This window comes from Homo sapiens, chromosome 19 (genome assembly GCF_000001405.40).
Source record: "Homo sapiens chromosome 19, GRCh38.p14 Primary Assembly".
NCBI classification, from domain to species: Eukaryota; Metazoa; Chordata; class Mammalia; order Primates; family Hominidae; genus Homo; species Homo sapiens.
The window spans coordinates 42,054,269-42,081,911 of NC_000019.10; the positions used below are offsets into that span (position 1 = coordinate 42,054,269).

At 55.3% G+C, this 27,643-nt stretch overlaps 2 protein-coding genes across 16 annotated transcripts in view, besides 5 other annotated features; one reads left to right on the forward strand and one right to left on the reverse strand.

Moving 5' to 3' along the window:
- Positions 1 to 15,938, reverse strand: part of GRIK5 (glutamate ionotropic receptor kainate type subunit 5) — a 71,883-nt gene extending 55,945 nt beyond the window's left edge. For 7 of the 10 annotated variants that reach the window (XR_935810.3, XM_011526862.3, XM_011526865.2 and 4 more), the window contains exons 1-9: positions 14,973 to 15,926; positions 11,424 to 11,552; positions 10,955 to 11,119; positions 8,490 to 8,587; positions 8,220 to 8,385; positions 5,081 to 5,259; positions 2,657 to 2,710; positions 2,394 to 2,555; positions 52 to 204 (exon numbers count right to left, since the gene is read on the reverse strand). Coding sequence is in view for 9 of the 10 variants with exons in the window: in XM_011526862.3 (XP_011525164.1) it covers positions 52 to 204; positions 2,394 to 2,555; positions 2,657 to 2,710; positions 5,081 to 5,259; positions 8,220 to 8,385; positions 8,490 to 8,587; positions 10,955 to 11,119; positions 11,424 to 11,502 (1,056 nt within the window). In the remaining variant the exon portion in view is untranslated. Of the gene's footprint in view, positions 1 to 51; positions 205 to 2,393; positions 2,556 to 2,656; positions 2,711 to 5,080; positions 5,260 to 8,219; positions 8,386 to 8,489; positions 8,588 to 9,032; positions 9,258 to 10,954; positions 11,120 to 11,423; positions 11,553 to 14,972 lie in introns of those variants that run through there. The other 3 variants (NM_002088.5, NM_001301030.2, XM_047438705.1) reach the window with 2 other exon arrangements.
- ZNF574 (zinc finger protein 574) lies at positions 14,209 to 27,284 on the forward strand. 6 transcript variants are annotated; one of them, NM_001330519.2, is made up of 2 exons: positions 14,209 to 14,693; positions 24,319 to 27,284. In NM_001330519.2, exons 1-2 carry the CDS (start codon positions 14,444 to 14,446, stop codon positions 27,027 to 27,029), a joined length of 2,961 nt encoding a protein of 986 aa, NP_001317448.1. In that variant the 5' UTR covers positions 14,209 to 14,443; the 3' UTR covers positions 27,030 to 27,284. The 6 variants fall into 6 exon arrangements, with proteins under 6 accessions (NP_001317448.1, XP_011525530.1, NP_073589.4 ...); XM_011527228.4 differs by lacking the exon at positions 14,209 to 14,693 and adding an exon at positions 20,589 to 20,978; NM_022752.6 differs by lacking the exon at positions 14,209 to 14,693 and adding an exon at positions 21,898 to 22,018.
- Positions 21,058 to 21,127: an enhancer, noted in NCBI's record as "active region_14697". NCBI's record gives its function as "activates an Ori minimal core promoter by ATAC-STARR-seq in GM12878 lymphoblastoid cells {active_cell/tissue: GM12878}" and the evidence as "EXISTENCE:reporter gene assay evidence [ECO:0000049][PMID:35858748]".
- Positions 21,208 to 21,257: an enhancer, noted in NCBI's record as "active region_14698". NCBI's record gives its function as "activates an Ori minimal core promoter by ATAC-STARR-seq in GM12878 lymphoblastoid cells {active_cell/tissue: GM12878}" and the evidence as "EXISTENCE:reporter gene assay evidence [ECO:0000049][PMID:35858748]".
- Positions 21,478 to 21,597: an enhancer, noted in NCBI's record as "active region_14699". NCBI's record gives its function as "activates an Ori minimal core promoter by ATAC-STARR-seq in GM12878 lymphoblastoid cells {active_cell/tissue: GM12878}" and the evidence as "EXISTENCE:reporter gene assay evidence [ECO:0000049][PMID:35858748]".
- Positions 21,968 to 22,227: a silencer, noted in NCBI's record as "silent region_10683". NCBI's record gives its function as "represses an Ori minimal core promoter by ATAC-STARR-seq in GM12878 lymphoblastoid cells {active_cell/tissue: GM12878}" and the evidence as "EXISTENCE:reporter gene assay evidence [ECO:0000049][PMID:35858748]".
- Positions 22,238 to 22,317: a silencer, noted in NCBI's record as "silent region_10684". NCBI's record gives its function as "represses an Ori minimal core promoter by ATAC-STARR-seq in GM12878 lymphoblastoid cells {active_cell/tissue: GM12878}" and the evidence as "EXISTENCE:reporter gene assay evidence [ECO:0000049][PMID:35858748]".
- Positions 27,285 to 27,643: the final 359 nt, after the last annotated feature.

Here is a 27,643-nt window from a genome sequence, read left to right on the forward strand (position 1 = left end):
ACCTGAGGTGGCCGTGTCCTGCCTCCTCCACCCATCCCCGCTCGGGCTCACCATGCGCAGGTAGTTCATGAGGCTGGTCCCGTGGGGCCAAATGTTGGCCGATGTACAGGCCAGAGGCTTCACACCGATCTCCTGGCTGCGGTTCAGCTCTCGGACAGCGCTCACCACCACGTGCACGGCGTCAAACATCAGGGCGGCTGACAGCTGCGGTGGGACAGAGGCGGGGGTGGGATGGATAAGAGGCTGCCTAGGCAGAGGAGCCCCAAAGGCCCCTGAGCTGCCACCCTCAAACCCTCAAATAACTTCCCTCTCCCCAGGAATGGGAAACTGGGTGGGTCAGGAGTGAGGAAGTGGCTCTGGTGTCTTTCTTGGGAAGTGGAATTGACAGCGGGGAAGGTGTGTGTGCTTCCCATGTCTTGGTGGGAGTAGGTCTCCCAGAATGTATGTGGCCATGTATCTCTCAGAGGGTGCCTGGATAGCTAGCTGTGTCACCTGCATGGGCAGGTATGTCTGTGAATCTGGGTGATGCAGGCCAGGGAAGATGGCCATAGTCCCCGTCTGAGTGTGTCTGGGGCACGTTTACATGAGTGGGGCTGGACGACCATGCCCATTCATCTATACACAGCTTGGGTGTGGTGTCAGAGAGGCAGGAGCATATAATGATTGGTCGCGGGCCTGGGAGGCAGGTGGCTCAGAGCTAGAGGCCTGGCTCTGCTATTTTCTCATTCTTTGATAGGGCTAAGTCCTCATTCCTCCCTGAACCTCAGTTTCCTTCTCTGTAAAATGAGGATAATAGTAATCTCTACCTTCATGTGCTGTTACGGGGCTCCGGTGACATAACGCCTGTAAAGCACTCAGAACAGTGCCTGGCACACAGTTAGCGTCCCATACACTCTAGCCCCCAATCTGTGACACAACCACGGTGTCTGTGTGTGCTTGTTAGGGTGTGCCCCAGCTGTGTTAGTGTGAAGGTCTGAGTATCTGTGTTGTGTAGATGTGCACAGGGGTACACACAAATGTGCCTCTGTGTTGGGGTGTGTGATGTCCCTGTGTGGACACATCTGACTGGACAGCTTGGTGTCCATGTGTGCTCTGCGCGTAGAAGTGTCTTGGTGTCTTGGTATCTGAGTAGATGTCTGTGAACAAATACACATAAATATGCATCTTTTGTATGCTGGTATTTATTCAACATCTATTATCAGACACCTGTTATGAGCTAGGCTGTTTTAAGTGCTGGGGATACAATGGTGAACAAAATAAACAGAACCCCCTGCCCTCATGGAACTTACAGTCCTCAAATCCATATCTCTATGTAAGTCTAATATACAGTAAGCCACATCGTGATGAAATAAGCAAATATAAGTGCTATGGAAAAAGACAAGGCAGGGAGGGGTGAAAAAATAGGTAGTTTACCTTTTTTTTTTCTTTTGAGACAGAGTCTTGCTCTGTCACCCAGGCTGGAGTGCAGTGGCACAATCTTGGCTCACTGCAACCTCTTCTACCTCCCAGGTTCAAGCGACTCTTGTGCCTCAGCCACCCAAGTAGCTGGGATTACAGGCATACGCCACCACACCCAGCTAATGTTTGTATTTTTAGTAGAAACAGGATTTTGCCATGTTGGCCAGGCTGATCTCGAACTCCTGGACTAAAGTGATCCTCCTGCCTCAGCCTCCCAAAGTGCTGGGATTACAAGTATAAGCCACCATGCCTGGCCAATTTACTTTTTTTTTTTTTTGAGACGGAGTCTCGCTCTCTCGCCCAGGCTGGAGTGCAATGGCACGATCTCAGCTCACTGCAACCTCCGCCTCCCAGGTTCAAGTGATTCTTCCACCTCAGCCTCCCAAGTAGCTGGATTACAGGCACCTGCCATCATGCCCAGCTAATTTTTGTACTTTTGTAGAGATGGGGTTTCTCCATGTTGGCCAGGCTGGTCTTGAACTGCTGACCTCAGGTGATTCACCTGCCTCGGCCTCCCAAAGTGCTGGGATTACAGGTGTGAGCCACCGCGCCGGGCCAAGTTTACCATTTTTTAAACAGGAGGAGGAAGGAAAAATCTTATACCTGAGGGGACACTGGAGCAATGTCCTAGTGATGGGGAGCAAGCCACTGCTTCTCTCGGAAAGTGCACAGGAAGCAGGGGGAAGAGGGTGTGCAGAGGCCCTGAGGTGCACCTGCTTGGGGCATCAGAGGCACCTCGAGGAGCTGGTGTGGCCAGAGTGGTGTGGGAGGTAGAGAGAGAGGAGGACATGGGTCCAATGCATCACAAGGCCACACCACGAGGCCTCAGGGAGGGCGAGAGGGTTCTGAGCATGATCTGAGTGAGGTCTGAAAGGGGGCCCCAGAAGTATCTGTGCAGAGTGTTTCTGGGTGTGACTGGGTATCTGTGTGCTCACCGCAGGGCCCAGGTAGGTGCTGGCTTCACAGTTCTCCCTCCAGGACATGTTGAGGCTGCGGACAAACTCAGGGTAGAAGGGGTGGGACGTGTTGAACATGGAGAAGCCCAGGATGTTGGAGGAGTCCTCCACAATACCGTCCAGATGCAGGATGGGGAAGTCCTGGGACCAGGAAGAGGTGGTGAGGCCTGGGGCTAAGCCCTAATGGGACAGCTGTGATGGGAAGGAAGTGGGGGCAGAGATGGGCCAGAGGGCATACACACCATGGTGGTGAGGATGTACTTGTAAAACGCTGAGGTCATTCCCAGTTCCGAGGCCTGGAAAACACAGGAGGCAAAGAGGCAGAGTGAGAGACAGAGACCCACAGGCAGAGATGGGGAGGACTCAAGAGAAGAAGAGAGATTTAGAGACAGCCCTGGTGAGAAGACACTCCATGGGAAACACAGTAAAGTAATAAATGCTCAGAGATAGACAGACAGGGAGGAGGAGACAAGTGGGGGCATAGGGAGGCCTTAGTCCCTGGTGTCCCGCCATGCTGACTGCTGTCCCAGGTGGGACATTTTGCTAGAGGAGAGATTTTGCTAGAGGAGATTTTGCTAGAGGAGAGAATAGGACTCCCAAATGTCCCCTGTCTCTCATGAAGGCACTTAGAAGATTTCCTTCTGGAGATAGGCAAGAAGAAGCCTCAGAAATAGGGCAGGAAGGGGAATTATCTTTTTTTTTTTTTAAAGACAAGATCTTGCTCTGTCACTCAGGCTGGAGTGCAGTGGTGGGATCATAGCTCACTGAAGCCTTGACCTCTCAGGCTCAAGTGATCCTCCCACCTCAGCTCCTGAGTACCTGGAATCATAGGCATGTACCACAATGCCCAGCTAATTTTTTAAAAATTGTTTTTTTGTAGAGATGGGGTCTTGCTATGGTCCCAAGCTCCTGGCCTCAAGCAATCCTCCTGCCTTGGCCTCCCATGGTGCTGGGATTATAGGTGTGAGCCACCAGGCCCAGCAGAGAGGAGAGCCTTAATTTTAAGCCCTACACTCTCCAAAAGCCAAGGTTGGGCTGCAAATGTGTAGGACTCAGCCTAGGCATAAGGTCAGAAAATCGATTCCCTGCAATCTTTAAAAGTGCTTTGCAATAATAGCAGCCAGTTTGAACGTCAAGATTCATTCTTGAGACCCTTTTCTCATAATCCTCGAGGAAAACAAAGCTGGAAAAATTCTTCCTGCCAGAAGCACCCAAGTCTGTCCCCCCACGAGAATTATAACATTAAAGGGCACCAGCTTGCATTTCCTGGGTGGCAGGAGTTGGGCTCTCATCACGTGGGTGTCAGGGAAGGGCAGGCTTGGAGAGGGAAGAGACAACTGTTCACACGGCTGGCACGGGAGGGGCCGGGATCCCAGCCCAGGCCTGCCTGGCTCCCAAACCTGAAACCTCCTCCTTAAGCCATCCTGTCTCAAGAACCCAGTGGATTCTGTTCACACTTCCTGCGGGCTACAGTCAGCAGTGATATATGGGTTTGTTTGTTTGTTTTTTGTTTTTTGAGATGGAGTCTTGCTCTGTCACCCAGACTGGAGTCCAGTGGTGCAATCTCAGCTCACTGCAAGCTCCACCTCCCGGGTTCAAGTGATTCTCCTGCCTCAGCCTCCCGAGTAGCTGGGACTACAGGCGCCCGCCACCACGCCCGGCTAATTCTTTTGTATTTTTAGTAGAAATGGGGTTTCACCGTGTTACCCAGGATGGTCTCAATCTCCTGACCTCGTGATCCGCCCGCCTCAGCCTCCCAAAGTGCTGGGATTACAGGCATGAGCCACTGCACTTGGCTGACATATGGTTTTAATTAAAAAAAAAAAAAAGTAGAGAAAAATAAATAATACAAATTTGGTTATTGGCCGGGTGTGGTGGCTCACGCCTGTAATTCCAGCACTTTGGGAGGCTGAGGCAGGCAGATCACGAGGTTAGGAGTTCAAGACCATCCTGGCCAATATGGTGAAACCCCGTCTCTACTAAAAATACAAAAATTAGCCGAGTGTGGTGGCAGGTACCTATAGTCCCAGCTACTTGGGAGGCTGACACAGGAGAATCACTTGAACCTAGGAGACTGAGGTTGCAGTGAGCTGAGATTGTACCACTGCTCTCCAGCCTGGGCGACAGAGCAAGACTCCGTCTCAAAAAAAAAAAAAAAGAAAAAAGAAAAAAAATACATGCAAAAACACCTTAACACAGAGCTCAATAAAAAATGTTTAAAAATCCTTCAGAGCTACGATGTAGCCAGATCTGACTCGGGGCCAGGCACTGCCCTGCATACTTTACCTGCCCCTGCCCACAGCCCCTTCTCTCCCCATCACTCGCTCTCTGGGCTTGAGCCACACTGCCTCCTTGCTGTTCTGTACACACCACAGTCTTGCTCCTGTCCTGCAGCCTGAACGCTGGCTGTTCCCTTAGCCTCACTCATTAACCCTCACAACCCACCGAGCAGGGACTATTCACAGGGAGATGCGGTGACTGCTCAGGACCACACAACCAGGAAGCAGGCAGGCTGAGAGACAAACTTTACAATTATCATCTTCACGGAAGAAGAAGGTCTTGAAGCCCCCTTTTGACTCCTGAGGCCCATGGGCATTGGGTGACTTGCTCGGTCACCCCAAGTTTCTGGCCCCAGTCCTTTGGGAAATCAGAGGTAGGGGCCTCACCTTACGGAGGATGAGGTGGGAGATGGAGGCGTTGGCGTCGATGATGATGGTGGACACCTTGTCATCACGGATCTCCTTGAGCAGTGGTGTGGGGTCCCGGCTGTCGTCCAACATCCTCACTGACAGCGTCTCCTTGGAGATGAGGAAGCCACGCACCAGTTCCTCCAATCGCAGCAGGCCTGAGGGAGGGGTGGGGCCTTGGGTTGGAGCCCTTCTGGGTACCCAGGCATGGCGTAGACACTCTCTCCTCCTCAACATGGGGCAGCTGGGCAGAGGACTGGAGGGTGTGCAAGGACATGGGGCAGCTGGGTCCCATGGGGTAATGGGCTTGGGGACCCAAAGCCTGGGCCCTCCCCAATTAAAATCCCAACCTAGACCTCTTCCTAGAACTCCAGATTCCTGTCTCTGCCACCTTCCTGACCCCTCATTGGGTGTCTTGACAGGTATCTCATGCTTAATCTCCTTGCTCAACCACCACGGCTTCCCCATGTTGGTGAACAGCATCTCTAGTGTGCCAGTCGCTCAGGCCAAAACTCTGGCTTCCTCTCTTTCACACCCAATCCATCAAGGCCCTCCCTTCCAAACACATCAGATCCCCTCACGCCGTGCCACTGTCACCACCCTGTCCTGAGCCACCACCAACTCCTGCCTGCTGCAATCCCCAAGCCTGCCCCTGAGTCTGTTCCCTACACAGCAGCCAGAATGATACGGGTCAGATGTGCTCCTCCTCTGCCCCAAACCCTCAAATGCCTTCCCAGCTCAGTCAGAGTCCTAGAGGCCAAAGTCCTCACAGCCTCCAAAGCCACACAATCTGCCCAACTCAACCCCTTGTTACTGCCCAGACTGCGGGAATTCAAGACCAGCCTGGCCAATATAGTGAGAAGCCATCTCTTTAAAAAAAAAAAAAAGGTACTTGTTGAGCATGTGCTCTGTGCCAGGCTCTGCTCTTGGTATTGGGGGTCAGCTGTGAGTGAAGCAGACCAGGTACAGGATGAGGAGATGAGTTGGGCAACAAACACCGCAAATAAATGCATTACATGGTTAGAAATAATGAGTTCTATGTTAAAGCAGAAATGAGTTATGAAGACTGGGAGTCTAGTGTGGGTGTGGGGTGCAACTTTAAATGAAATGGTGGGCGGGGGCCTCATTGAGACACTAGAGTAGAGACTGATCCCTAATAGCCTAATATCAAGAGCCAGGCCTGGCACATAGCAGCTGCTCAATAAATACCTTTTTTTTTTTTTTAACCATCCAGCCCACAGCTCCTCCTCTCCCCATCACTCACTCTCTGGGCTTGAGCCACACCACCTCCTTGCTGTTCTGCACACACCATAGTCTTGCTATTGTCCTGCGGCCTTCACGCTGGCTGTTCCCTTGGCCTAGAACCCTCTCCTCTCACATCCTTACACAGCTCCCTCCTTCCCCTCCTCCAGGTCTCTATTCCAACATCACCTTCTCAATGAGGCCCTCGCCCACCATTTCATTTAAAGTTGCACCCCACGCCCATACCATTCTTCATAAGTCATTTCTACTTTTCCATAGAACTCACTACTTCTAACCATGTAATGCACTTATTTGTGGTGTTTTTTGCCCAAGTCCTCTCCTCAGAATGTACTTGGACTACTTCACCCACGGCTGACCCCAATACCAAGATCAGAGCCTGGCACAGAGCAGGTGCTTAATAAATACCTTTATTTATTTATTTATTTATTTTTTTGAGACGGAGTCTCGCTCTGTCGCCCAGGCTGGAGTGCAGTGGCGTGATCTCAGCTCACTGCAAGCTCCACCTCCCGGGTTCACGCCATTCTCCTGCCTCAGCCTCCTGAGTAGCTGGCACTACAGGTGCCCGCCACCACACCCGGCTAACTTTTTGTATTTTTAGTAGAGACGGGGTTTCACCATTCACAGGATGGTCTCGATCTCCTGACCTCATGATTCGCCCGCCTCGGCCTCCCAAAGTGCTGGGATTACAGGCGTGAGCCATCGCGCCCGGCCATAAATACCTTTTTTTTAAGAGATGGGATCTCGCCATGTTGCCCAGGCTGGTCTTGAACTCCTGGCCTCAAGCCATCCTCCCACCTTGGCCTCCCAAAGTGCTGGGATTACAGGCATGAGCCACCACACCTGGCCCAATAAATACTTCTTGAAGGAGGAATTCCTTCTAGAGGCTATGGAGCACAGTTCCTCCTTGCCTCAAGCTCCATACCCACAAATCCACCAGCCTACCAGACATCTCACATGAATGTCTCAAAGACACACCATGCCCGACGTGTGCCCCGATGAATCGTGTTCCTCCTTGGCAAAGGCCTTGCACCATCCCTAGCCCCACCCTCTTCTTTCCCTCACGCCTCTCACATCACCCTGGCCCCCTCATTCCAACTGCCACCACCTGGGCCCAGACCAGTGTCGCCTCTCCCCTGCCTTTCACTTGTCTCCTTGCCACCCCTCTTGTCACTCTCCAGCCTGTTCTCTACACTGCAGCCAAAGGGCTCTTCCTAGAACACGAATCTGACCCTGTCCCCTCGCCCTGCCCGGCGTGGGGACTTCCCATGGCTCCCATCATCTCTTGCTTCGTTGTTCTCACATTTCAGCCACTGGGAGTATCTGCAAGCCTCTTGAAGGGCTGTGCTCCCTGGGCCCTCTACCTCTGCCCGTCACACTTTCTACTTAGAACCTGTTCCCTCTTTCTTCCCACACCCTTCAGGTTCAGCTTGGATGTCTCTTTCTCATAGACACAGGCTCTGAACCTCCCAGATGGATTAGGATCCCTCCTATGTGATACCAGAGGCTCCACGTGCCTCCTGGCAGCACACATACCACTCTGTATCACAACAGCTCAATGACCAATGACCTCCACTAGAACCGGAGTTCCAAGCACCCAGGGACCACGCCCAGGGCCTAGCAGAGGGCCTTGACATGGCAGGTGCTTAGTCACCATCTGGGGACTAAATGGATCTCTTTGGGGAGAGAAGGGGTCTGTAGAACCAGAGGCCTCGGTTTCTGAAGATGGGAGAAGAGCCTGGTGCCTGGGTGCCCCAGGGTTCTAACTAGGGGGCAGTGAACCACTGTGTGGGACACCAGATCTCTTGGGAAGGGGTGTCTGGGGGAACAGAAAACAAAACATTCAGTTCTCCCTCACACTCAGCCTTGGCGCAGATGAGGCTGGCCGAGGGGTAGTTGAAGGACTTGAGGATTCGGGAGACCGCCAAGCTGACGTCCTCGTTACTGGGGTACAGGCTGACAGACGCGAAGCGAAGGTACTGAAGGCGGGGTGTCTCCTCGGGACCCACCTTGATGTGGGGGATCTGGACAGAGAGGAAACTTTGGCCTCCATCCTGCTTCTCCGCCCAGCCCTCGCCTCCCAGGGACCCGCTCCCCACAAAGCGCCGGCCCACACTCCCCATCTCACCTCCTTCTCTCCACAGATATGGCTCACGGTGGAGGCAGATGCTGGGCTAGAGGAGGGCCCAAGGACAGACACAACCCCTTTGGGTAAGATCTGACACACTGCGTGGGAAGGGGAAGAGACCGCAGAGTCAGGGACCCCCTGCCTCCTCTCCTTCCCCATCCCTCAGGGAGCCGCCATGGCCCAGGAGAGGATCAGACACTGGCAACTGCCTGATCCTCTTCTGCCATCCGGGACCCAGAAGGCCAGTCTCTGACCCCACCCAACAAGTGAACATGAGGGGGCATGAGATGGAGAGAGATGAGGACACAGCAACAGAGGGACAGGTCAGGCCAAGGGAGATCAAAGGAAGGGATGAAGAGAAAGAGACACCAGGGGCCTCCTCTGCCTACAAAGCCTGTGCCTAGTCCCTCAGCCACTGTTGTTCTCAACCTTTTCAGCCATGCCACAACCCACGGTGCACTCACCACCTCCTCCCCTGACCCCACAGCCCAGGTCCCCTGGAGCCTTCCCATACTCCAAACACCACTCTCCCACTGCACTTACTTCCTCCTCTTTCTTCTGCTCTCTTCCTCCTTATACACATGTGTGTCTCAAGACTGGGAGGTGGAAAGCTGTTGTTTTTGCTTGTCCAGTGCCTGTTCTCATGGCAGAACCCTAACTTCTCCTGGGGGAACTATCCTCACCCTTCAGTCCAGGGTTCCCAGGATTGACTGGCACCTGATGCAGGCCTTGGGGAGTCACAGAACTCCATTCTTCTAGCCATGGCAACTGGTTCAGAAATACATATGGGTGCAAATCAGACCATGGAGCACCTTCCCCAGGTCTTTTGCTACAATTATCACTGGGTTTGCTAAACTGGTGAGATGTAAGCTTGGTGCTGCTGGGGCCATCTCACCACCAGTTGAGAGAGCATTTCTGAAAATGAAGCCAACTCAGAGGAAAGCAGGCCTCAGAGGTAAAGACACAGAGATTCCCAGGATGTCATCTGAATGCCTGAATCCAGCCATGCCTGAAACAATCCTAGGCCATCGTTTGAACACCTGGATTCAGCCATGCCTGAAATTTGTCCTTAGGTCTTTTAGTGACATGAGCTAATAAGTTCTCTTTTTTCCTTAAACCAGGCTGAGTTTGGTTTCTGCCACCTCTAACTAAAGGCATCATAACTCAACACCTCATTTCCTCCAAACTGGCTCCTTCTGGACCTTCCACACTGGTAAGGGCCCCACCATTCACACAGACCAGATGCCTGGAAATGGTCCTTGCCTTCAATCTCTCTCCTGACAGCCAGTTAGTCACCATGTCCTGTCTCTTCTTTGTCCTCAAATTTCTCACATGTATCCCCTTCTCTTCAACCCCTTGGCCCCTGACCTAGTTTAGGACTCTCAACTCAGACATATATCAGAGTACACACTCATCACCCAAATCCAGTCTCCAGATTCTCTTTCCAGAAGCCTCACTCCCTGGTATAGACCTATCAATGGCTTCCCAGTGCCTGTGGGTGAAGGTGGCATCTTTCACCCTGGCACTGTAGCCTCCTTGAGCCAGCGTGACAATCTGCACAGCCTCGCTTCCTACTACCCTGTCACACTTAGCTCTGAAGTATCTCACAATCTCTCCAAATATGTCCTGAATCCAGGTGGATTCAGGATGGGCTCAACCCCATACCCCCCCATTTCTTGGCTCCAAATACTTCCCTCTGCTCCCACCCCGATCCCCACCTCATCTCCAGACTCTAGGCACATGACTGGAATGCCATCTGCCTCCTCACCCTCCATCCCAGCTTCTCCCAAGTTGTACTCTGTGCCACATCAGCCAAAAAAGCCTGTGAAATGCCATACCCCATTCTTCCTCTTACTGATCTGAAACATACACGAACACCATAAAGCCTCTGATAAGGCCTGCAGGAAAGAAACCTGTCTAAAACATGTTTTAAGGCAGCATCTCCCAAAGGTCTAACTCCAGCACATCTGTTCAAGTGACACCTTCGAACATTCAGCCCATCAGTATTCCATAGACACTTCCACACCCCTGTGATGTGGCCGGCCGTGCTTGGAGCCACGCCACTCTTTCTACATCCTGTTCACCTTTCAGAGCTCAGTTTCAGACTAGCCTTCTCCAGAATGCCTTTGCTGACCCTCGCCCAAGCCTCCTGCCCTCCATGCCTGGGGCTTGTTATTAAGCTCTGGGGGCTAACAAGCATCCCCAGCCAGCTGGGATGATAGGGCTTATCTTTTCAACGCCGCCCCGTGCTCCTCCAGAGCAGAACTGGGGCTTATGCTCTCCCTCCTCTCCAACCCCCAGGCCCAGCAGCAGCCATGTCTGGGAAGAAGGCAGAGACAAACACAAAGAAGGGGGAGGATGGAGCTAGAAGAGGACAAGGCCAGGCCAGAGGCCAGGGGCAGAGGGATGGACTGAGGGCCACCGACCTGCCCTGCCTCACCCCACGCCCCCATGGCCCCGCTCACTGGTGTCCGTGGTCTCGTACTGGCTGTCCCGCTGCAGCTCAAAGATGTCTACTTCCACTCGGGCCTTGGCTGGGACCTCGATGATCCCGTTGATCTGCTCCCGGGCCAAGGCCAAGGCCAGACGCTCACCGCGGCCACACACTGTCTGATCATCCAGGATTGCAGCTGAGGGGACACATGGGTTGGGGACCAGACTCCTGAGTCCTGAGGAAGGAGGGGGCTGTGGTCTTAGACTCCAGGGCTCTAGGGTGAGGTGGGTATACGGACCAGGGGTCTAGACACCTGGATCTGAGGTTGGTGGGAGCTAGGGGTCTGGACTCCTGGGTCCTGGGGGAAGGAGGAACTGGAGGCTGGGATTCCTTGCTGCTGAAGAGAGCTGAGACCTGGACCCTGACGGACTGGCATGCCTGGGTCCCCAGAGGAGCCCCAGGGCCTGAGGATGCAGGGGCAGGGTGCGGGAGGGCCTCACCCATGCGCAGTGATGAGAGCACCTGGCAGCTGGGGCTGGCGAAGGCAACAATCAGCAGCAGCAGCAGCTCAGCCGGCATCTTCCTCCCCTCCTCATGGGGACGCAGCTGCCGCGGCCCCCACTCGCCACCTGCAGGGAGACCCCCCAGACCAAGGGGAGATTACTATGTGGTGGGATGGAACCCCTTGGAGGCCTGCTGGATGGGGTGGTCACAGAAGCCTTGGGGACATTGTTGGCAAGCAGTTCACAGCTCTGCAGAGCCCTGCTCTGTTTAGAAGCTGGCAATACTGAGGGCATTGCAAGAAGGGAAGCTCAGCTCAGAGGGGCACTACCAGGGTGGAGGTCACAGTGCTCAGGCGCTGAGTAGGACAGGCTGCAAGAGAGAGGATGGGCACAGCTACCAAAACAGGAGGGAGGCGTGCGAGGTTCTCAGGTAGGAGTGAATTCCTGGGACCAGCCCCACCCAAATAGGAAACCAGGAAGTGCCACCCCCCACCCAGTCCCGCCCCTGTCTCTGGGCAGGCAGCCGTTACTAGGCAACAGAAACCGGCTGGAGAGGATGCGGTGGTTGCTAGGCAACCCCATCCCAGGCCTCACTTGCCACTTTCCTAACATCCCCAGTTCCCACAATCCCATGGGGAGAGAGGCCTGGACATCCGAGGTCTGGAGGAGAGAGTATCTGGGAGTTAGGAAACTTCGGGAGAGATGGAGAGATGGAGAAAAAGAGAGAGAGGCACACACAGAACCCCATAGATGAATGGACCCAGAGCAGTAAAAGGGGGAAAAAAAAAAAAAGCAAAGAGAGAGAAGGGAGGAAACAGAGAAAGTGAAAGAGAGGCTTAGAGAAGGGAAAGACAGAGAGACTCAGAAAGAGAGAAAGGTCAAAATAGATAGAAATACAAGGGAAGAGAAAGACAAGACAATAGGAAAATGGGGGTAGAAATGGAGAGAAAAGAGGAGAGTTACAGGGAGGCAGGGAGAGGACTAGGAGGGAGAAAGAGGGAAGAGACAGGAGGATGAGGAGGCAAGATAAAGAAAGGACAGAGCAGGGAGCGGAGGAAAGAGGGGCAGGCTGGAGGTGGGGAAACCAAGGCACAGGCGAGACACAGGAAGAGGGAGACAGAGGATGGAGAAAAGATAGGAACCGACTCGGATACAAGCAGGAAGAGCTGGAAGGGAGGAGTGAGTAAGGCAGGGAGTGGAGCTGCCTGCCAGAAGTGGGTGCCATACCACTGCCCCCCACCCTACTGGGGAGAAGAAGTAAAGGGGGAGATGGTGCATCTTTGCTCTTCACAACTCTCCACCCCTAAGGAGTCAGGGATTCCTCTAGGCACCCCAGCTTTCTGCAGGGCAACCACTGGGCAAGGAGTTTGGCCAGATGCACAGCTCCACTTCCCCTGGCTGAGGGCTGTGCCCCACGGGAAGGGATGCTTGGGTTTCCATGGAGTAGGGTTACTGTGGGGGGCACAGAATGCTGTGAAGTGGGCCTGGACACCGGACCCCACTCAGTCCCCATGGAAGGACAGCTTGAGCTGGTGAAACTGTGGAATGAGAACTTCGAGGGAAGGATAGAGGCACAAGTCCTTCTCACCATCTCAAGTGGCCTGCAAAACCTAGGCTGGGGATCAGTCCCAGCTCTGCCCCTGACTCACTGCGTGATCTTGAGCAAGTCACTGCCTTCTAGGCCTCTGAGAAGAAGAGAGTGCTAGGTGGGAGGGTATGCTGGACAGGCTGGGGACTGCAAACTATAATGTGGATTAAGGTGAAGGCTTGTCAAGGATGGAGGCACAAGGGATGCTGGGAGACCCGGAGGAGCGCTCAGAGTGGGAGGAGTGTGAAGGGCGGAGCTAGGAGAGAGGCAGGAGTGGAGTGGGTCATCCTGAGACACCAGGGACTCCTGGGGCAAATCAGGGAGCAGAGGACAAAGGACAGAAAGACCGAGGGAGAGATGGGACAGAAGGACAGGGACCCACAGGTGGCAGCCAAAGGTGGGAGCAGACAGAGAAAGACAGGGTTGAGGGGCAGCAGGTGGACACAGAGATACACACAGAAAGACAGCCCAAGACGTAGGAACTGAGGCTAAGTGAGAGAGCAAGAGACAGACACAGCCTAGAAGTGAGACAGCAAAGGAGACAGAGACAGGGCAGGTAGGGTGTCAGGCAGGTCCAGGACTCAGCCCCAGAGACTGGGCAAAGCCAGATAAAAGTCAAAACCCAGCAGAGAGCTGAGCAACAGTGGGCATAGGAGAGACATCAGCAAAGGTGAGAGGCAAGGAGGGCCAGCGAAGGCACACAGGGTGAGGGAGAAGGCAAAGGGAGATAAAGAAACAGCAGCAGGTACAAGACTTGGGAGAAGGAAAGAAATGGCCAAACTCTACAAAGAGAGAGGGCCAGTCGGAAAGAGAGACAGTATGTCGGAGCTGCACGACAGGCCCATAGAAGAGGAAGGGGCAAGGGGGAAAAGCACCTGGGAGAGAGAAAGGGGGAGTCAGGGAGGGAAACTGAGGTGGGGAGATGGAGTGAGTGCACTAGAGGGGCACAGGCAGGGACAGGGCAAGCACCTGCAGGAGAGGCCAGACCCACACAGAGGCATAGCCACCCCAAGACACTCAGGAATGCCGTGTGGGGGAGCAGGAGATCCTGGGGCCTGAAAGCCCCCAGACATGGAGAGGAATGGGAGCAGAAAGGCCACGCGAGGTAACACAGAAGTCGGGAGAGAGAATGGGAGTGGAAAGAGCCAGACCAGCCAGGAAAAGTCAGCATGGACCACGGAGAGGTGGGGCAGCAGCTGAGGAGGGAGGGACTGAGGAGCCGGGCACCCAGAGTGGATCTGGGGGAAAGAGGTGGAAAAGTGACAGAGGGAAGACAGCCTCCAAGCTCAGAGGCAGAGAGAGGGAGGAGGACAGGTGAGCGGAGGCACAGAATAGAAAGAGAAATGGAAAGAGACCTGCCGAGGGAGACTTGGAAAGAGGGAAGCCAGGGTGGAGGAGTTCTGACAGAGAGAGGGATCTAAACAGAGACATGCCGAGAGCAACCTGGGCTAACAGCAAAGAGAGAAGTTGGGCAGAGTCAGAGAGGGGCCCAAGAGACACAGGAAATGGGGGCTCAAAAGCGGAAAGACATATCCAGGAGATAGAGACTGGACGGGGTGGGGACAGGGCCAAGGCCCACCGCAGGCAGAGGATGAGGCTCAGAGGAACAGAAAGAGCCAGTCTGGGACCAGGACGGAGGCTTGGAGACAGCAGGGGCACGGACATGCCAGGGGCCCGGGGTAAGTGAGAGCCCAAGTAAGAGCAATCAGCCCCGTAGGACCCCAGAAAGCTAGAGGGCCAGGGGCGGCAGTGAGCTATGTACCCAGAAGAAGAGGTGAGAAGAGGTCGAGGTGAATGGACGCTGAGGAGATGGAGGGCGCAGAGCAGGCCCCTAGTGGGGGAGGGTACTTGCCAGTCCGGAGAACGGGGAGAATGTGGTGCCCCCCTGCCAGGCGGCACCAGAGCCCAGCCTTCCAGGACCCAGAACCCAGCCCAATCCCTGCCCTGCAGACACTCACGGATCCTGGTGGGACGGAGGGCTGGGCTCCCTCGAGGCCCGAAGACCGACAGCGGGAGGTGCTCTGGCGCTGGGTGGTGGTGGGGCTGGGCGGGGGGAGAGGGCAGTCCACAGGGCCCCCTCCCCCGCCGCCGGTGGTGGCTCCCAACTAATCCAAAACGGTGGCTCCACAGGAGCAGGGAGGAAGGACAGGTGGAAGAGGAGAGGGCGGGCCGGGGAGGGGAGGAAGGGGAAAGGAGAAAATGGAGGAGAGAAGGGGAGAGAGGAGAGGGGGAAGGAGCAAATGGAGGGGAAGGAGGGAGGAAAGGAGGAGAGGAAGGTGAAAACGGAAGGGGGGGGCACAGGCAAAGCCGGGGGAGGGGGAAGCTGGCCCAGGAAAGGGCCCCCGCCCCCTCCCCTAGCCGGGCCGGCCTGGGGGGGCCACAGGGGGCGAGGACTGGGTGGAGAAAAGGAAGCCGGCCATCAGGAGAAGTGGGGGAGGGGAGGGCCTGCTGGGGGAGGGGGCCGCCCCCTTTCCCCCTCCCCCCTGGAGCCTGGGCCCTGCCCTGGTTGAGGCAAGGGCCCGGAGTCCTCAAGCCCTCAGCCCCCACGGGAAAAGCATGCTGGGGGCGGGGAGAGCCCGGGAGTGGAGAGCTGGGGAGGATGGAGAGCTGGGAGACCCGGAGAGGCCAAGAAGGGGGCAAATGAGGTGGAGAGATAGGGAGGAGGGAGAGGAGGATGGAGAGGAGCAGGTGGAAGAGAAAGGCGGAGGAGGGTGGGGTGTCCCAGGGGCTCCCGGTGCTGGGCCTCAGTGGGAGGGCCTGGCGACACACTCCTGGTCCCCTGTGAGGAGCCGGCTCCAGTCCCCGGCTCCAGTCCCCGGCTGGGCCTGCCTCCCTGCCGCTGGCTGCCGCCACCGCTCAGTCTCCCCTCCGAGGCCGCCGCCTGCCTGCCCGCCTGCCGCCTGCGCTGGGTCCTGGAGCGCAGTGGGGTGGTTCAGGAGAGAGAGAAGAGGGAGGGAGGGAGGCAGGGAGGAGGGCGGGCAGGAGGAAGGGAGGGAGGCAGGCAAAGAGAGAGTAGGGAGGTGAGTCGGGGGAGGGGGAGCCTGTATTGGTTGGGGCTGGGGGCCCCCCGCGAGGAGAATGCTGATGAGAAGAAGGAGCTGCATTGGATGGAAGGCCCACCCCCGAGCCACCCCCTCTACCACACCATGCCACCGCCCTGCCCAGGCAGCCCTGGGCACAGGAGCCCACAGAGATGAGAGGCAAGAAGACCCAGGGAGAAGGCCACTGAGATGAGGGGAGAGGGCTACAGAGATGAAGAGAAATGAAGAGAAGAGAGACAGCCGTCAAGACTGTCCAGAGAAGTGGGCTGAGGCCCACAAACCCCACAAGGACAAGGACAGGAAAAGCCCAGGGATAAGAAAGAAAGGCCCATGGAGACAAGGGAGCAGCCTACAGAGACAAGCAAAAGGACCTCGGAGACAAGGGGCAGTAATGTGGACATAGAGACCTCCCGCGAAGGAAAACGGGAGAAGCCAGAGACACAAGAGAGAGGCCCCTGGAAACAGAAAGCACTCCTCAGATATGGGGAGCGGTCCACAGGGCAGGGAGAGAGCCAAGGAGAGCCGAAGAAGGTCACAGAAACAAGGGAGGCCTACAGACACCAGGGTACCAAAAAGACAAGGATGTGGCTCATAGACACAAGAGAGCCACTGAGGCAGGAGCTGCCAGCCTGGAGATGCGGGGCAAGCCTCCCCCAATATAAATAGCTCCTATAGAGGTGAGGGGATGGGTGGTGAGTATGAGAATTCCCTATAGTGCACAGAGAAATCCTTGGGACCCACAGAGATGAGTGGGTGGAGAGAAGGGGCCCTCATTCTCTAGTCACAGGAGCAGAGAGGCAGTGGGAAAGGTGGATGGGACAAGGAGAGGAAGCTGGAGGGCAGAGCCAGAAGTGGGAGACTCCTTCCCAGGGAACACCCTGCAGCCTCTCAGAAGGAGCTGAGCAGGACAGGGGGATGGAAGAGAGAAGCGACACAGATCTTGGAGTGGGGGTGGGTGGTGCATGGCTGGGTGGGGGGTGAAATTTGGGGGGAAGAAACATGACAGTTGGCGCCGAAGGCTGAGCCCGTGACTCACCACCACCCCCGATGCTCGTGATGGGGAGGAGACACTGACACACTCACGTGCGGCCCACAGCATATGTGACCGCATGCCTCGAACACACAGCTGGCACATGGCAACTCCTGGACCACATGCCAGCCCAGCACAGGAAGCCCTCTGCAAGCTGGCATGTGGGGCATCCTGGACACACATCTGACACATATATCTGACGCTGAAGGACCACCAACTTTGCACACACCTCCTTACCCCACTTGGTCAACATCTACACCGCCCCCTCAAACATCCACACTTAACTCCAGTCAGGCCTAAAAGCCCAGATTCACACCTGCCTCTGGGACTTTGCTTATGAAGGACCTCAACACAGAACACCATCCTTTCGACCAGGGCGGTGGCTCATTCCTGTAACCCCAGCACTTTGGAAGGCCGGGGCAGGTGGACCACCTGAGGTTGGGAGTTCAAGACCAGCCTGGCCAACATGGCAAAACCCCGTCACTACTAAAAATACAAAAATTAGCCAGGCCCGGTGGCACACTCCTTTAGTCCCAGCTACTTGGGAGGCTGAGGCACAAGAATTGCTTGAACCTAGGAGGCAGAGGTTGCTGTGAGCCATGATCATGCCACTGCACTCCAGCATGGGAGACAAAGCGAGACTCCATCTCCAAAAAAAAAACAAAAAACAAAAACCAACCACCATCCCCTCTAAATTCAACCTGTCCCGGAAATCCCAGCCAGTCCTGCACTACCACCTCCAGAAAGACCTCAGCTTATCCTCAGCTTATTCCTATATGATCTGGAGAAAAGAGACCTGCACCACCCAAATCAAGTTGAGAAGTCCAAGCAAAAGGCCTGAGAAGTTACCTGGATCCTCAAATTTTCTTTTTTTTTCCTTTTCTTTTTTTTTTTTTTTTGAGATGGAGTCTCGCTCTGTTGTCCAGACTGGAGTGCAGTGGCATGATCTCGGCTCACTGCAAGCTCTGCCTCCTGGGTTCACACCATTCTCCTGCCTCAGCCTCCTGAGTAGCTGGTACTACAGGCGCCCACCACCACACCCGGCTAACTTTTTTTGTATTTTTAGTAGAGACGGGGTTTCACCATGTTAGCCAGGATGGTCTCGATCTCCTGACTTCGTGATCTGCCTGCCTCGGCCTCCCAAAGTGCTGGGATTACAGGCGCAAGCCACTGCACCCGGCCAGGTTTTCTTTTCTTTTATTTTTTCTTTCTTTCTTTTTTTTTTTTCTTTAGATGGAGTTTCGCTCTTGTTGCCTAGGTTGGAGTGCAATGGCGCCATCTTGGCTCACTGCAACCTCCGCCTCCGGGGTTCAAGTGATTCTCCTGCCTCAGCCTCCCGCGTAGCTGGGATTACAGGCATGCACCACCATGCCTGACTAATTTTGTATTTTTAGTAGAGACGGAGTTTCTCCATGTTGGTCAGGCTGGTCTTGAACTCCTGACATCGGGTGATCGGCCTGTCTCGGTCTCCCAAAGTGTTGTGATTACAGGTGTGACCCACCGCACCCAGCCTGATCCTCAGATTTTCAAGTGGGGAAAAGGAGGTTTCAGCAGAAGCAAGAATCTGCCCAAGGTCACACAGCCTGTCAAAAACTGAGCATGGCTTCCACTTCTCTGTCACCTACCCCAGGTGATTTTGCCCTAAGGGCAAACCCAGACTGCTTCAGAGCAGGCCGAGCCTAGCTTTAGCTCACTAATTTCCACCAACTCTTTCCTCCACTTCTTGCATTCAACCCTTCAACATGCAACCACTTGAACTTCCTGCCTGGCAGGCAGGTGAGCCTGGGGGCCAAGAATGTAGACTGTAAGGTCAACTCCTGGGTTGGAATCCTGACTCTTCCTAACTATGGGAACTACGACTAGTTACTTCTCTGGGGCCTCGATGTTTTGTAGAGTCAGCATGACAGTTTCTCTCTCATAGGGTTGTTGAGAGGATTAAACTGAGTAATGCATGTAAGCATTGAGCATAATACCTAGCACGTCATAATACACTCAAGAGATGTTAGTTATTATTATTAGGCTCCCGGAGATACTAATAAAAATAACAACTGGCCAGACACAGTGGCTCACACATGTAATCCCACCATTTTGGGAGGCCAAGACAGGAGGATAGCTTGAGCCCAGGAGTTCTGAGACCAGCCTGGGCAACATAGTGAGACCCTATCTCTATAAAAAAAAAAAAAAAACCCGGGCATGGTGGCTCATGCCTGTAATCCCAGCACTTTGGGAGGTCAAGGTAGATGGATCAACTTGAGGCCAGGAGTTCGAGACCAGCCCAGCCAATGTGGCAAAAACCCATCTCTACCAAAAACTAGGAAAAATTAGCAGGGCATGGCGGTGTATGCCTGTAATCCCAGCTACTCAGGAGGCTGAAAATTGCTTGAGCCTGGGAGGCAGAGGTTGCAGTTAGCTGAGATCACACCACTGCACTCCAGCCTGGGTGACAGAGCTAGACTGTCTCAAAAAAAAAAAAAAAAAAAAAAAAAAAATTAGGGACTGGGCGCAGTGGCTCACGCCTGTAATCCCAACACTTTGAGAGGCTGGGTGGGGGGGTGGATCACCTGAGGTCAAGAGTTCGAGACCAGCCTGGCCAACATTGCAAAAACCTGTCTCTACTAAAAATACAAAAATTAGCCGAGAGTGGTGGTGTCTGCCTGTAGTCCCAGCTACTCAGGAGGCTTAGGCAGGAGAATCACTTGAACCCAGGAGGCGGAGGTTGCAGTGAGCTGAGATCGTGCCACTGTACTCCAGCCTGGGCGGTGGGCGACAGAGTGAGACTCCATCTCAAAAAAAAAAAAAATTAAATTAAATTTTAAAAATAGGCCAGGTGCAGTGGCTCACGCCTGTAATCCCAGCACTTTGGGAAGCCAAGGCAGGTGGATCACGAGGTCAGGAGATTGAGACCATCCTGGCCAACACGGTGAAACCCCGTCTCTACTAAATATACAAAAATTAGCCAGGCGTGGTGGCGAGCGCCTGTAGTCACAGGTACTCAGGAGGCTGAGGCAGGAGAATCGCTTGAACCTGGGAGGCGGAGGTTGCAGTGAGCCGAGATCGCGCCACTGCACTCCAGCCTGGGCGGCAGAGAAAGACTCTGTCTCATAAATAAAATAAAATAAAATAAAATAAAATAAAATAAAATAAAATAAAAATAAAATGAGTAACTCCTAGATGTCTTTTACTCTCTGCCTCACATGAGATGAAATGGGGCTCACATGAAATGGGGCTGTTATTAGCCCCATTTCACAGATTAGAAACTTAGGCTCAGGACAGTTGACTTGCCCTAGAACCAGGATTCCAATCCGGGAATCTGTTTTAACTATACATGCCTGGTGTTAGGGAATTTAATCCATGAGAAGGTTAGGACATCTAGTGACCAAATGGCCATAGAATTGGCCCCGGGTCTCACTGTGAGACGCATCCCATAGTGGCTTCAGGTAAGTAAATAAATAACACAATTCTGAGAGTCAGTTTCCTCATCCGATAAGTTGAAATTCCTCTGTGTTTGGGTTCAAGGAGTAGGTCTGGAAATGTTTCTTTTCTTCTTTCAGATGGAGTCTCGCTCTGTCGCCCAGGCGGGAGTGCAGTGGCGTGATCTCGGCTCACTGCAACCTCGGCCTCCTGGGTGCAATCAAATCTCGAGCCTCAGCCTCCCGAGTTGCTGGGGTTACAGGCACGAGCCACCACGCCCAGCTAATGTTTTGTATTTTTAGTAAAGATGGTAGTTTCACCAGGTTGGCCAGGTGGGTCTCGAATGCCTGACTTCAAGTGAACCCGCCTCAGCGTCCCAAAATGTTGGGATTGCAGGCGTGAGCCACCACGCCCAGCCTGGAAACGTTTCTAACAGTACTGGGGCAACTCCCTCCCAAGGCCCTGAGGGGCGCAGGAACGAGGTGAGTAGGAATGGCCAGAGCCCCTTGGACACATGGGGCCCCAATCTCGAGGTGTAAGGGTCAGAGTCACCCCGGAAGGAGGTGGAGTGGAGTCCGCCCGTTACCGGCTCACTTCCTTCAGGCTCTCACCCCGATTGTCCTTCAGGTCCTCTACCCACCACACTCCCTATTTCTTCCAATGAAATTGTCCCTGCTTCTTTTTCTCCATATCCTCGCTCTCCTTGCTTCCCCTATGACATTTCTCCTCTCTCCACCTCCCAAAAGTCCCCTCGGTCTTTTCTCTGTTTCTTCCTGTTGCCTTCATTCCCCTCCTTTTAATAAAGTGAGTCTGGAACCTTGGTTTCCCTTTTCTCTCTCCATGTGACTGGTGCTGCATGCAGTTTGCCCTCTCCCCATCGCGCTAAGTGGTTTCACTTTCTCCCTCTGACCCTCGGGGAAACCACAAAGGTTCCCGTGCCTCCATTCCCCCGCTCCAGCCCTCAAGGTGCCGCGTGCCTCAATTTCCCAGGCTCTTTTCCTCCCTCTCCCTGTCCCCAACGCTGACTCCCTCACGGCGTCCCCAAAATGGCGCCCGCGGCCGCGCTCCGCCGCCTAACGTCATCGCGCCGCCCTCCGCTCAGAGTTCCCCTCTGGAGCCGTCGGAGGCGGAGTCGAGGAGGAGGAGGAGCATCCTCTAAGGAGGATTAAAGGGGCGGGCACTATCCACCCGAGGGCTGACCGGTGAGGGAACGACGCTAAAGGATTGGTTGGGCGCTGCGGGGAATCTCGACGCTCCTCACTATTGGCCCAAGCCTCAGAGACATGAACGTCGATTGGCCGAACGGCAGGGCCCGAGCGGGCAATGATTGGTTGCGTCCGGCCGTCCGTGCGGCGGCCGAGGAGGAAGGTGGGAGGGGCGTTGCTGAGGGTAGCTGGGGGCGAGAGCGAGGCTACGGAGCAGGCGAGAGGCGACGGCGAGAGCTAGAGCGGGCGCAGCGTTAGGGTGGCCGTGCAAGGGGAGCCGTGGCCCGGGCCCGGGGCGTGCGAGACGGCGGAAGCAGGTGAGCGCGAGCGGGCGCGCAGAGGCCGGCCGGGCTGCGCTCCCTGCCGCCGCGGCCTCCTCTTGCCAGGTCGCCTGCGCACTGAGGGCCTGAGGGGGTGCGCGCCGGGCAGTTAGGGCGGAGCGGCACCAACGGCCGACCCGGCGCGCGGGCAGCCGGGCGGGGGCCGGGCTGGAGCGGCGGGTGGGGAAGGGGCCTGGAGTCGCGTGCGGGGCTGAGTGAGGAGGGGCGGGGCTCGGGCTGAGGCTTTGGTGGGGCACCTGGGCGGGAAGGGGAGGCCTCAGAGCTGTCCCAAGAGGGCTCCGCGGCTCCCCAGGGTTTGGGGTAAAGGACTTGGTGGTGTGGCAAGTCCAGGACGAAGGGGCTGGGCCGGTTAGACGGCACGTGGGTGCCCAGTTAGGGGCTTAGGGCGTGAGAAAGATAATTAAGTTAATGCAGGGGAAAAATATCTAGTTCTTCCTGGAAAGAATTGGGGCGGTGAGAGGGGTTTTGGTGTGAAGACATTAGGAAATCGATATCCCCAAGGGAACGGTTTAGAGCTAAGGAGGGGTCCAGTTGTAATGGATGGGGTTAAATTAATGTGAAGAGGCCTTAAACCAATGTGTCAGGAGGTTGGGTACCCTTGGAATGCGTGGAAAGGAGTCTTTGTACAAAGAAGGATTAAGTGTATTTTAAAAGGGTGTCTGGGTGTCCCTAGAATGAGCTGGGGAAGGTAGTCTTTTTTAAGTACAGGTAATTAGGCCAAGGTGAAGATGGGATTTGGTTATTGGAAGGGGAGGAAGTAGGGTGGGAGAGATCTGTGTGCTAAAGTGAGGGGTGCCTGGGAATTCCTGGAATGAGACTGAGAGGTTGCTAAGACGCTGGGGGGTCTGAGTACCCCCAGAATAGGAGGCTGGTGAGAGGGGCTTGAGTGTGAGGAAGAGGGGTCTGTGCTGGATTAAGGTGGTGATGGAGGTTCTGTATGAGAATAGGAGGTCCGGGTATCCCTAAAGGGGGTTTGGGCAGCACGAGGGGTGTGTGTAAAAGGAGCTTAAGCCATTGTGAAAGATGGGTGTGTGGATCTTTACACAAAGAAGAGGAGTTATGTTGCTACGAAGAGGAGGGTCTGAGCATCCCTAGAATGGGTTAGGGTGGGTTGGGTCTTCTAGCAAATTAAAAAAGATTAGGTTAATAATGTGGAGGAGGATCTGGATATTCCTGAGATGGATTTGAGGGGGGGCTCTGTTTGCAAGAGAGGCATAGGTTGATATAAAATGAGGGTATGGGCATCCCTGAATGAGTGGCTGTGTATGAACAGGAAGGGTTTAAATCAATGGGAAGAGGGGATCTGGGTATCTCAGAGGGGATTAGAATTGTCGATTTGGTCTTGGTACAAAGAAGAGGTGATGAATGTAAAGAGTGGATAGATACCCTGGAGACAGGAGCTAGGGTGGTGGAAGGGCCTAGGTCCGAAGCGGGGAGGAGTAGGCTTTTGTGAAAATGGGTCTGGGTATTCTGGATAGGGGGTTAGGGTTGTAGGAGAGGGCCTTGATTTGTAGAGGAGGTTAAGTAATTAAACAGGGCTGCGTATCATGAAGTGGTTAAGGTGGGCAAAGTCTGGGTGTGGAGATGGGTTAGGCCAGTGTGAGAAAATTTGACTGGGGGGAAGGGATATAGTTTGACGTGAGGAATCTGGGCACCTGAGGAAGAGTTGGTGGGTAGCAGGGGTTGCGTGTAAAGGGGAGGGGTGGCACCTTGTACAGTGCTGAAAGTGGAGTGGTGGGGCATTGGGCAGTTTGAGTGGTCTGAGTGTAAAAAGAAGTCTGAGAACCTGGGAGAAGGAGCAGAGGCCATGGGAGGGGTGTGGCTGGGAGAAACAGGTGGGGAAGGCCTATATGGGGTTTCAGTTGGGTACCTTGGAGAGGAATGGGGTGAGGTGAGTTGGTAAGAAAAGGAGTCAGTGGAAGGAGGTCTGAGTGGAGGTTCCCATGTGCTGGGCGGAACTGTGGGGCCCACTGTGAGGTGTGGGAGATGAGGGGACTGGACAGGTTACAAGGATCTGGTGGGTGGAGTTTGATGCAAGTTGATACAGAGGTGAGACTGTGGGTAAATTCCTGGGGAAGGGACTGCCTGGGAGATTTGTGTTTGGTGTTTGTTATGCTGAGGGGAGGAAGGATTATTGGGAGGGAGGCAGAATTTTAAAAATCGAAGGAAGAACTTAAGGGGGTGTAGATCTAAGGTATTAGGAGTGGAGAGTGATGAAGGGAAGAGCTGAGGAATCGGTGACCTAACTGGTTTGTCCCCACTGTCTCCTCTTCCAGCCCAGGGCCTTGCTGCCGCCATGACTGAGGAATCAGAGGAGACAGTCCTGTACATTGAGCACCGCTATGTCTGCTCTGAGTGCAACCAGCTGTATGGATCACTGGAAGAGGTGCTTATGCACCAAAACTCCCACGTGCCCCAGCAGCACTTTGAGCTGGTGGGCGTGGCTGATCCCGGAGTCACTGTGGCCACAGACACAGCTTCAGGCACGGGCCTCTATCAGACCCTTGTGCAGGAGAGCCAGTACCAGTGCCTGGAGTGTGGTCAACTGCTGATGTCACCCAGCCAGCTCCTGGAGCACCAGGAGCTGCACCTGAAGATGATGGCACCCCAGGAGGCAGTGCCAGCTGAGCCATCACCTAAGGCACCACCCCTGAGCTCCAGCACCATCCACTACGAGTGTGTGGATTGCAAGGCTCTCTTTGCCAGCCAGGAGCTCTGGCTGAACCACCGGCAGACGCACCTCCGGGCCACACCCACCAAGGCTCCTGCCCCTGTTGTCCTGGGGTCCCCAGTTGTTCTAGGGCCTCCTGTGGGCCAGGCCCGAGTGGCTGTGGAGCACTCATACCGAAAGGCAGAAGAGGGTGGGGAAGGGGCGACTGTCCCATCTGCCGCTGCCACCACCACTGAGGTAGTGACTGAGGTGGAGCTGCTCCTCTACAAGTGCTCTGAGTGCTCCCAGCTCTTCCAGCTGCCGGCGGATTTCCTGGAGCACCAGGCCACTCACTTCCCTGCTCCTGTACCCGAGTCTCAGGAGCCTGCCTTACAGCAGGAGGTGCAGGCCTCGTCACCTGCAGAGGTGCCTGTGTCTCAGCCTGACCCCTTGCCAGCTTCTGACCACAGTTACGAGCTGCGCAATGGTGAAGCCATTGGGCGGGATCGCCGGGGGCGCAGGGCCCGGAGGAACAACAGTGGAGAAGCAGGCGGGGCAGCCACACAGGAGCTCTTCTGCTCAGCCTGTGACCAGCTCTTTCTCTCACCCCACCAGCTACAGCAGCACCTGCGGAGTCACCGGGAGGGCGTCTTTAAGTGCCCCCTGTGCAGTCGTGTCTTCCCTAGCCCTTCCAGTCTGGACCAGCACCTTGGAGACCATAGCAGCGAGTCACACTTCCTGTGTGTAGACTGTGGCCTGGCCTTCGGCACAGAGGCCCTCCTCCTGGCCCACCGGCGAGCCCACACCCCGAATCCTCTGCATTCATGTCCATGTGGGAAGACCTTTGTCAACCTTACCAAGTTCCTTTATCACCGGCGTACTCATGGGGTAGGGGGTGTCCCTCTGCCCACAACACCAGTCCCACCAGAGGAACCTGTCATTGGTTTCCCTGAGCCAGCCCCAGCAGAGACTGGAGAGCCAGAGGCCCCTGAGCCCCCTGTGTCTGAGGAGACCTCAGCAGGGCCCGCTGCCCCAGGCACCTACCGCTGCCTCCTGTGCAGCCGTGAATTTGGAAAGGCCTTGCAGCTGACCCGGCACCAACGTTTTGTGCATCGGCTGGAGCGGCGCCATAAATGCAGCATTTGTGGCAAGATGTTCAAGAAGAAGTCTCACGTGCGTAACCACCTGCGCACACACACAGGGGAGCGGCCCTTCCCCTGCCCTGACTGCTCCAAGCCCTTCAACTCACCTGCCAACCTGGCCCGCCACCGGCTCACACACACAGGAGAGCGGCCCTACCGGTGTGGGGACTGTGGCAAGGCTTTCACGCAAAGCTCCACACTGAGGCAGCACCGCTTGGTGCATGCCCAGCACTTCCCCTACCGCTGCCAGGAATGTGGGGTGCGTTTTCACCGTCCTTACCGCCTGCTCATGCACCGCTACCATCACACAGGTGAATACCCCTACAAGTGTCGCGAGTGCCCCCGCTCCTTCTTGCTGCGTCGGCTGCTGGAGGTGCACCAGCTCGTGGTCCATGCCGGGCGCCAGCCCCACCGCTGCCCATCCTGTGGGGCTGCCTTCCCCTCCTCACTGCGGCTCCGGGAGCACCGCTGTGCAGCCGCTGCTGCCCAGGCCCCACGGCGCTTTGAGTGTGGCACCTGTGGCAAGAAAGTGGGCTCAGCTGCTCGACTGCAGGCACACGAGGCGGCCCATGCAGCTGCTGGGCCTGGAGAGGTCCTGGCTAAGGAGCCCCCTGCCCCTCGAGCCCCACGGGCCACTCGTGCACCAGTTGCCTCTCCAGCAGCCCTTGGAAGCACTGCTACAGCATCCCCTGCGGCCCCTGCCCGCCGCCGGGGTCTAGAGTGCAGCGAGTGCAAGAAGCTGTTCAGCACAGAGACGTCACTGCAGGTGCACCGGCGCATCCACACAGGTGAGCGGCCATACCCATGTCCAGACTGTGGCAAAGCGTTCCGTCAGAGTACCCACCTGAAAGACCACCGGCGCCTGCACACAGGTGAGCGGCCCTTTGCCTGTGAAGTGTGTGGCAAGGCCTTTGCCATCTCCATGCGCCTGGCAGAACATCGCCGCATCCACACAGGCGAACGACCCTACTCCTGCCCTGACTGTGGCAAGAGCTACCGCTCCTTCTCCAACCTCTGGAAGCACCGCAAGACCCATCAGCAGCAGCATCAGGCAGCTGTGCGGCAGCAGCTGGCAGAGGCGGAGGCTGCCGTTGGCCTGGCCGTCATGGAGACTGCTGTGGAGGCGCTACCCCTGGTGGAAGCCATTGAGATCTACCCTCTGGCCGAGGCTGAGGGGGTCCAGATCAGTGGCTGACTCTGCCCGACTTCCTCTTTGGCACCTCCATTCCCTGTTGCTGAAGGCCCTCCAGCATCCCCTTAAGCATCTGTACATACTGTGTCCCTTCCTCTTCCCATCCCCACCACCTTGTAAGTTCTAAATTGGATTTATTCTCTCGTGAGGGGGGTGCTCTGGGGTCCTTGACACACATAAAGGTGCCCCCCCACCTTCCACCTCTTAGCACTGGTGACCCCAAAAATGAAACCATCAATAAAGACTGAGTTGCCAGCAGTGTGTAGAGTGGAATTTGGGAGTCATGGGTCTTACCTCTCGTGGCTGCATCACCAACACCCAGAAGTGGGCCTGGCAGGTATTAGGGGTAGTAGGAGCTCAGTAAACATTTGCTGGGCTGAAGAGAATGACCTGGTGTTCATGGGCATGGCTCTCATAGCAGGGCCTTCACTTCACTGCTAGATGGAGGTAGCATGGCTCTCTTGCCACTAGAGGTCCCATGGCTCTGTGGAAAAGCTCAAGAGTGTTTGTACTGGTGGCAGGAACTTTCAGAGAAATCAGATTTTTACACTCCTGTCCCTGACTCCTGGCCTGATGTGGACCTTGTCTCCCAAGGCCATCTGATTTTCTCATTGATC

Bases quoted from the DNA above. Each gene is read 5' to 3' on its own strand.
- ZNF574 (NM_001330519.2), top strand. From the start codon at position 14,444: ATGCCGAGAGCAACCTGGGCTAACAGCAAAGAGAGAAGTTGGGCAGAG. The intron at 14,694-24,318 runs GTAAGTGAGAGC...CTCCTCTTCCAG, and splicing joins GGACATGCCAGGGGCCCGGG to CCCAGGGCCTTGCTGCCGCC.